At 48.9% G+C, this 9,258-nt stretch overlaps 1 annotated feature.

Annotated features, from left to right (window-relative positions):
* Positions 6,646 to 6,940: a silencer, noted in NCBI's record as "tiled region #13009; K562 Repressive DNase matched - State 8:EnhW". NCBI's record gives its function as "represses a minimal TATA promoter and a strong SV40 promoter by Sharpr-MPRA in K562 cells {active_cell/tissue: K562}" and the evidence as "EXISTENCE:reporter gene assay evidence [ECO:0000049][PMID:27701403]".

Genomic DNA, 9,258 nt, shown 5'->3' on the forward strand with positions numbered 1-9,258 from the left:
CAGAAATGTTTTCTGAACTGAAAAAGGGGGACTACAGGTGCCTGCCAGGCCCTCCATATACATACATCCCCCTATGTCTGTGTCTAGAAGTGAGATACACCGTTATTTCTGTTTTCTGATTGGCCTTTTTAGTTTTTTGAGACAGAGTCTCCCTCTCTTACCCAGGCTGGAGTGCAGTGGCTCGATCTTGGCTCACTGCAACCTCTGCCTCCGGGGTTCAGGCAATTCTCCTGCCTCAGGCTCCGGAGTAGCTGGAATTACAGGCCTGCACCACCACGCCTGGCTAATTTTTGTATTTTTGGTAGAGACGGGGTTTGGCCATGTTGGCTAGGCTGTTCTCGAACTCCTAAACTCATGTTATCCACCCCCCCTCGGCCTCCCAAAGTGCTGGGATTACAGGTGTGAGCCACCGCAACTGGCCCATTGGCCTTTCTTGTTGTACTGTTCTGTCCCTTCCAGGTAAGACAGGTACATTTTCTAGTAGTAAGCTCCTGTGTCTTAAAAAAGAAAATAACATTCATTGAGTGCTTACTTTATGCCAGGCACTGTGCTATGGGCTTTATATAAATAATTTCCTCTCTGAAAAAAACAAAGACAACAAAAAAAATTACTTCTTTGATTCTTTTCTAAAAGTTCCTTGAAATTGCCATGGACCCTCCCATTCGTGCAGGTGGGGAGAAAGAAGCTCAGAGTCGTTGAGTACTTGGCCCAGTGAGTAAATGGTGGAGCCAGGATTTGTGAACAGTTTTGTGGACTCAGAAGCTTCCATCCCTTACAGGGGTGGTGAAGAAGGCCTTTCCGAGAGGCCCGAGAGGCCCCAAGGCAGAACCATCCAGCCAAGCCCACCCCAAATTCCTGTCCCACAGAAACCAAGAGAGATAATAAAAAGACGGTTGCAGGGTTGTCTCGCCCCTCCTCTGTCTCTTGCCTGCTCTCTCTAAGGAATTCAGAGCCTTCCCATCTTGAATACCAGCGGCAGCTCCAGAATTTCCCCGTGGGACAGGCTTACTGAGAGCCGTCTTGTGAAGGGGGTAGCCCTGGACTTGCCTGGGAGCTGTGTCTGTGTAGCAGGTACTCTGCTTTCAGGAGGATGCAGGTTTTGTTGGGGGAGAGTGTTCCAGGGACTGTGAGGGGACTGAGCCTGCTCCTGAAGCCATCTCCTTTTTATTTAATTTTATTTTTTTGAGACAGAGTCTCGCTGTGTTGCCTAGGCTGGAGTGCAGTGGCAAGATCTTGGCTCACTGCAACCTCCATCTCCCGGTTCAAATGATTCTCCTGCCTCAGCCTCCCGAGTAGCTGGGATTACAGGTGCCCGCCACCATGCCTGGCAAATTGTTGTATTTTTAGTAGAGATGAGGTTTCACCATGTTGGTCAGGCTGGTCTTGAACTCCTGACCTCAGGTGATCCACCTGACTTGGCCTTCGAAAGTGCTGGGATTACAGGCATGAGCCACTGCGCCCGAAGCCATCTCTTGGTAAAATACTGCTGAGCATTCAGACAGAACAGAATTAGGAGAAAGAGAAGGAACCAGCATTGATTTCTTCAACACACTGTGCTAGGTACCTCAGGCATTTCGATTATTCTAGGCTGTGAGTGAAGAGTTGTTGCCAGAATCTAAAGTGTGTTCTGAGAACTTGGCCAAATGTAGGGTGACCATATGACTTACCATTCAAATTTGGGACACTTTGGGGGTGACGAAGGGATTACTATCAATAATTATGCCCTGGGATTGTCTCACTTAAACTGGGAGGTATGGTCACCCTAGGCAGAAGGGAAGTAAAATGGTCCTCTGTTACTGATTATCTGTTGCTGTGTAACCAATCACACCAAAATTTAGTGGTTTAAAACAACAACAGTCTTTTTATTATATCTCTTAGTTTCTGTGGGTCAGGAATTGGGAGAGGGCTTGGCTGGGTGGTTCTGACCTGGGGTCTCTCATGCATTATAGTTTGGTGTGGGTGGAGCTTCTGTTTTTCTCTCTCTCCATTTAGCCTCAGGGTCATTCTGTAGTGAGTCCATGTGGGGAGTTCAGAGCAAGTATTCTGGCGAACAAGCTGGAAGCCATGCTGCCTTCTGTGATCTAGCCTCCGAAGTTATACAGCATCTCTCCCATCCCCGTAACTTGTTGGTTCCAAGTGAGTCACAAGCCTGCCTAGAGTCAAGGGCGAGGGAGGACAGAGACTGAATTTCTTGCTGGGTAAGGCACAAAGTTATGGAACAAGTATGTGGAGTGGGAGGTATTGTCGTGGCCATCTTAGGGGTATGAACTCTGCCATGGATGCAGACTGGCCTTTTCTAAGAGTCATCAGTTTGGTTATCTGCAAACATGACTGAAGAGTGTGGGGTACATCAATGCCAGGCAAAGTTTCTGAAGGAGTCTGGCTCAGAGGGGGAGGCCTGGAATACGATCCTAGTTTACCAAGGGGAACCTGGTCAGTTACCTTGCAACTTTGGAGAAAGAGTGAATGGAAGTGTCCCTCAGTAGGGGACATTTAGGAAGGGGATGGTCACAGAGCCAGGGCTGGCATTGTCCAGGGCACAGGTTCTTGGTTGCGCTGGCTCAAGCATCATCCCCATTCCCCGGGTAAGACTGTCCTCCCAAAACAGAGGTGGCTTCAAGCTGCTCTGTGATAAACACTTTTTTTTTTTTTTTTTTTTGAGATGGAGTCTGGCTGTGTCACCCAGGCTGGAGTGCAGTGGTGCAATCTTGGCTCACTGCAACCTCTGCCTCCCAGGTTCAAGTGATTCTTATGCCTCAGCCTCCCTAGTAGCTGGGATTACAGGTGCCTGCCACCATGCCTGGCTAATTTTTGTATTTTTAGTAGAGATGGGGTTTCACCACGTTGGTCAGGCTGGTCTCGAATTCCTGACCTCATGATCCGCCCGCCTCGGCCTCCCAAAGTGCTGGGATTACAGGCGTGAGCCACCGTGCCTGGCCGATAAATGCTTCTTAATGCTGTTGTTTATTCTGACTCCCTGCCACCAAGCAGTGCTGTGACACCGTGGATCCTCATGGAACTTGTGCTGTAGGGAAGCACGTGCTGGTTAGGCTGATGGAAGTGCTCCATTCTGCTGGTGGGGTATTTACTGTGCTCTCCAATAATAAATGGATCTTCTGCTATGCGTCAGCCTTGTAAGTTTGGTCAAAGGGAGTCTGCCACCGCCTTGTGTGCAGAAAGATCCCGGATATCCTGTGGTGGATTCACCTCATTGGGACCGGTCAGTGTGGCCAACCTCTCTTCCAGAGTGGCAACTTGCGTTTCCTTGCTTATCTTTTAAGAAGCACCATAGGAATCATCACCCCATTTTATAGACGAGAACACTGAGGCTCAGAGAGGAGGAATGTCTTGCCCCAGGTGAGCCAGCTGGTCAGGGTGCATTTGGAATGGAAACCCAGGTGTGGCTGAAACCAAAGCTGGCACTCTCCATGCACAATTCCAAAACCCACAAAGCTCTGAAAATCTAAAGCTTTTTCATGAGATTGGGGCAAGCATTTGATGGCAAACCTGATATGAATTGGATGTGAGGTTATTTATAGTCTTTATTTTGTCCCACTTAGCGTGAATATTTATACATTTTGCTGCAGAAAAATTAAAGGGTTTATGGAATATTGCTCCAGAGCTCACTGGCATGTCACCTGATATGCGGTAGATCCACTCGAAAACCTTTCAGGAATCCAAAGAATTCCAAGTTATAAAGCACATTGAGGCCGGATGTGGTGGCTTCAGACCTGTAATCCCAGCACTTTGGGAGCCCAAGGCGGGCAGCTCACCAGAAGTCAGTAGTTTGAGACCAGCCTGGGTGAAACCTCATCTCTACTAAAATACAAAAATTAGCCAGGCGTGGTGGTGGGTCCCTGTAATCCCAGCTACTGGGGGAGGCTGAGGCATGAGAATCGCTTGAACCCAGGAGGTGGAGGTTACAGTGAGCCAAAATCGGGCCACTGCACTCCAGCCTGGCCGACAGAGTGAAACTGTGTCTCAAAATAAATAAAATATAAAATAAAATACATAAATTGATAAAGCACATTGAGCCGCGAGGATTTCAGATAAGAAATTGTGGAGCTGTGCTACCTGTACCAAACTTTTCTGTCTCGGTTAGGCAGAGATCACTACCCCCATTCTGCAGATGAGGAAGACTGAGGGCAAGGAACATGGTGTCCCAGGTAGGACGGCAGCCATTTTATCATCCTGTTGGAGGCTGTGCCAGCAGGAAAGGAAGCTTTGGAGCCACCAGCCCACCCCAGCCTCCCAAGAACCTTGTTGTCTCAGCAAAATTTCAGAACTAGAAAACCTGGAAAGATTAAAGCCCCAAAGAATGCCACAAGTCCCCCAGGAAGAAAGGGAGGCTTTGCTGTGCGTTCCAGTGGTCGACATTCTAAATCATTTTTTATTTCAGCTGCATGTACACTCACCCATCACAGGACCAGTTCTCAGAATAGAGAGGTACCTGTTGAATCATCCACCCTACTTCCTGCCTCGTGTGGGCATGTCTCCAAGTGCTGAGCCATCCGCTTCGCTGCCGTGGCCTGAGATATATCAGGATTTGCAGGCCTGGCGACAGGAGACAAAATAGATTCCCATTTCCTTCAGAACCATTTAGCTAGTTTAGAGAGTGTTTGACTGTTTCAATGGGATGAGCAATAACCAGGCCTCTCCTTGGCTCCTTCTCTCTGCCCCATATGTTTTCTTCTGTTGGAAGCTGGGATTTGGGGTCTTAGGGCCAAAGATAAATACTGATTTTGGCTCGATCTGGCCGCACAGCTGTGGGCTAGTAGGTGCCCCTCTCTGAACCTCAGGCCCCCACTTTCTGCAGCACAGTGTTGTTCTCATCTCTGTTTTTTTTTTTTTTTTTTTTTTTTGAGATGGAGTCTCTCTCTGTTGCCTAGGCTGGAGTGCAGTGGTGCGATTTCAGCTCACCGCAACCTCCATCTCCTGGGTTCAAGCAATTCTCCCCACCTCAGCCTCCCGAGTAGCTGGGATTGCAGGTGCCTGCCACCAGGCCCAGCGGATTTTTGTGTTTTTTAGTAGAGACAGAGTTTCACCATGTTGGCCAGGCTGGTCTCGAACTCCTGACCTCAGGTGATCCGCCCTCCTCAGCCTCCCAAAATGCTGAGATGACAGGCATGAGCCACCGCATCCGGTCTCTCATCTCTTCATACCACATGCCTTGGTTCCCACTGCCCCGGCGGGTGCCTGGAGAGCCTTGTGGCTGGGGCTGAGTGACCGCAAGGTGATATTTAAGGTGGTCTCATGGAGCAGTCTGACATCACTGTAATGCAAGCAGACATCTGGGGAGTCAGACTGACTGAATTTGAATTCCAGCGATTTAAATTTTTACCACTGTTGTGTGACCTTGGGCAAGTTGTGTGACCATTTGAGCCATAGCTTCTTCATCTGTAAAATAGATGGAATCATAGCATGTACCACTTCGGGAGGGAGGGAGAATAGAATTAGGTCAGATTTTATATGTGACATGCTTAAGGCAGTGCCTGGCATGCAAATAAGCCCTTGATACATGCCAGTGGGGTTACTCTGGTTACCAGAAACTTGGAAGTAGGGGCTTTGGCTGGGGCAAGATCTCGCAACATTTAAAAAGCAATCACTGACCGGGCACCGTGGCTCATGTCTGTAATCCCAGCACTTTGGGAGGCCGAGGCAGGTGGATCACGAGGTCAGAAGATCGAGACCATCCTGGCTAACACGGTGAAACCTCGTCTCTACTAAAAATACAAAAAATTAGCCGGGTGTGGTGGTGGGCGCCTGTAGTCCCAGCTACTCGGGAGGCTGAGGCAGGAGAATGGCATGAACCCGGGAGGCGAAGCTTGCAATGAGCCAAGATCATGCCACTGCACTCCAGCCTGGGTGACAGAGAGAGACTCCGTCTCAAAAAAAAAAAAAATAAATAAATAAAAAGCAATCACTGGTCACTCGTGAGGAACCAGGCCCCGAGTTGGTCACTCAGCGTTCAGGTGGAGACCTTGCCATGCTATCAAGTAACCTAGAGTCTATTTTTTTTTTTAAGATGGAGTTTCACTCTGTCGCCCAGGCTGGAGTGCAATGGCACGATCTTGGCTCACTGCAACCTCTGCCTCCCATGTTCAAACGATTCTCCTGCCTCAGCCTCCCGAATAGCTGGGATTACAGGCACCCGCCACCACACCCGGGTAATTTCTGAGTAGAGACTGGGTTTCACCATGTTGGCCAGGCTGGTCTTGAACTCCTGAGCTCAAGTGATCCACCCGCCTTGGCCTCCCAAAGTGCTGGGATTACAGGTGTGAGCCACTGTGCCCAGTCAAGTAACTCAGAGTCTAATGGGGAAAGTAGATGTGGCTAATCCAGGGGCTGCAATACCTATAAAGTCCTTAATCAAATATATTTTGCGTCTATGTTTAAAAAGCAGATTTCACCTAAAAATCTAGTTTTTTGGCTTCTCTTAAGATCTGGCAACACCGGGCTGGCCTTCCTGCGATACGAGAAGAAGCTGGAGCTGAATAGGAGTTGCCCCCTTGGCCAGGGGCTCTCTACTTTGCCTCAGTCCCCACTACTCCCTATTGCACCAGATTCAAACTTCTTCATAGTCATGCATGTTTGCCGCTGGGGCCTGTGGGAGTTTGCTGATAAGTTGCAGTGCAATGCTGTGGGTGCTGTGAGAGCACGATGAGCAATAATAACTCAGCCTTGGGCAGTCAGGAAAAGCTTCCCAAGGGAGGCGAAGTCACAGCTGCTTCTCTATAAAACCTGCAGATGCTGCTGAACACCCTCATCTTTATGGCTCAAGGACATGAATAAAGGACGCAAAGTCAGAGCTCACGAGGAATCTCTGGCATAAAGCGACTGAGGCCCAGTGACTTATCTCGGGTCACACAGCCTGCTGATGGCAGAAGTGGGGCTAGAACTAGGATTACCAACCAGAAACCTTTTTGGACTACTTTCCCTAGAACCAGAGCTGTCAACCAGAAACAGTTCTGGGCCACTCTACCTCCCCTGTCTCTGGATTCCTCGGGAGTTAGGAGGATTTGTACTCTGGAATCTTAGACTTGAGTCCTGTCTCTGCCATTTACTTGCAGTATGACCTCAGATGAGTCACTTCCTTTCCTTGAACCTCAGTTTCCTCATCTGTAAGGTAGAGCTAAGGATTCTGACCTCAAAGGAGTGTTCTGAGGGCCAAACGTTGGGAAAGTGGACAGGAGGCAATCTCAGACATCTCATTAGCTCAAGAGGACTCTAGATACCTGAGGGTCATTATGACTGTTGACAAGTAGCCACCTTCTCCCAAGAGATTTTGTTACCATCTGTTTAACAGTGACCTTGAAGGGGATCCATCCCCCACTTTGCCCTTGCCAGTCCCTTAAAGGAGCACGCATGGCCTTTGGTCAGGCTTGGACCCTGGAAGGGAATGCTTTGGGATTCTCTGACTTTGGGTGTGAACTGGGCCCTGGATGCAGAGCCCAAGGGTTCCCCTCTCCTGGGAGGCTCCAAGGTCACAGCGAGTACTAGGGTAGAGTTGGGAAGGAAGCAGAATTTCCTGGGCAAAAGAAATGTCAATAATTCTTTTGTTTTCTTCAAGGCATCTACCTGCCTATCTGGGGCTCCCCTTAAATCCCATGTCTGTGGCTGGAACTATTGAGACTCTCCTACTTTGAGGAGGTCCCACTGTCCTGAGTTCAAATCCTGACTTTTCTCCTTATTAGTTGAGTGTGACTTTGGTTGGACAAGATTTCAAATTCCTCTAAACTCCAATGTCCTCATCTACAAAATGGGCCTCTTAAGAGTACACATTTGGTAAGGTTTAGTGGGAATTAAGTGAGATTATGTGTGAAAGGGTTTAGCACAGTGTAGAGCTCAGTCAATGCCCGTTATTACTGTGATTGGAAATTAGAATGATTGCCACCCATCGTGTTTGTATAACACTTGACCATTTCTGAACTTATGCTTCTCTTACGCCATTTGATCTTCGCAATGACTCTTTGAGGTGGCCGGTGCAGGGATCATGACCTCATTGCACAGATGAGACAACTGGAGCTCAGAGAAGGCAACCGTCTACTCAAGGTCACACAGCTTGAGTATGGCAGAGTGGCAGAGCCAAGTTCACTTCTTGTTCTTTTTTTTTAAGATGGAGTCCGGCTCTGTTGCCCAGGCTAGAGTGTAGTGGCATGGTCTTGGCTCACTGCAACCTCCGCCTCCCGGGTTCAAGCGATTTCCTGCTAATTTTTGTATTTTTAGTAGAGAAGGGGTTTCACCATGTTGGCTAGGCTGGTCTTGAACCCCTCACCTCAAGTGATCCACCCGCCTCGGCCTCTCAAAGTGCTAGGATTACAGGCGTGAGCCACCACACCTGATCTCAAGTCTTCTGAGATGAAGATTAAACAGCACCTTCCACAGGGTCAGACCGGACGAGACAAGACCAGGCTTTGACCACGTGGTTGGGTTGTTCCCTGGGTGCTTCATATCTCCCAAAAACTCCTTGATAGAAATAATCCACAATGCTGTTTCAAACCCTTTTTGCCTCTGTTTATGCTCTGAGCCTGTACCACCTCTAGGGGCGAAGAAACTTCTCCTTTCTCCGTGGCGTCAAACGGACTTTTCCTTGTATTTGTCCTAAAGGGACCTCAGCAGCCCCTCCCCGTTGGGTCCGTCAAAGCACTCTGCCAGAAGGTCTGTGTGTTCTTCAGTGTGGGCACATGATGGCGCTGCTCCACAACGCATGAAAAATCAGGCCCAACCCACCCCTCACCCCCCGCCCCCCGGACTGCATTTCAACGCATCAAAGATCAATTAAACACCTACTATGTGCAAGTGACTGTGATTGCTCCGGGGAGGGCTTCAGTTATTCAATACTGTTATGTTTAGCTATATTAATAATAGCCGTAATAACATCGGTACAGGGCTTCATAGTTTATCGAGCAATTTACGTGGATTATCTGGTTCTATCTGCCAAGCAGTCCTGATGCGTTAGATCGGGTGGGTCTTTCTGTCCCACTTGAGGAGGAAACTGAGGCACGGAGGGTGACAGAACTTATGTAAAGGCACGGGGGAGAGAGGCACATGGTAGGCATTTGATGAATTATAGGTGGTGGATGGAATGAGGCAGACCCAGGCATCTATCTCCTCCAGGTTGTTATTCATCAGTGAGGGCCGGGATTGTATCTTATTTGTCTTTCCATCCCCACTCCTAGCACGGCTTCTGATTGAGGGCTTCCACAGACCTCTGTGGCAGGGAGAGGAGAGGCAGGGGGATTCCCTGTAGGCTGCAAT

Source organism: Homo sapiens, chromosome 22 (assembly GCF_000001405.40).
Source record: "Homo sapiens chromosome 22, GRCh38.p14 Primary Assembly".
In the NCBI taxonomy this organism is placed as follows: Eukaryota; Metazoa; Chordata; class Mammalia; order Primates; family Hominidae; genus Homo; species Homo sapiens.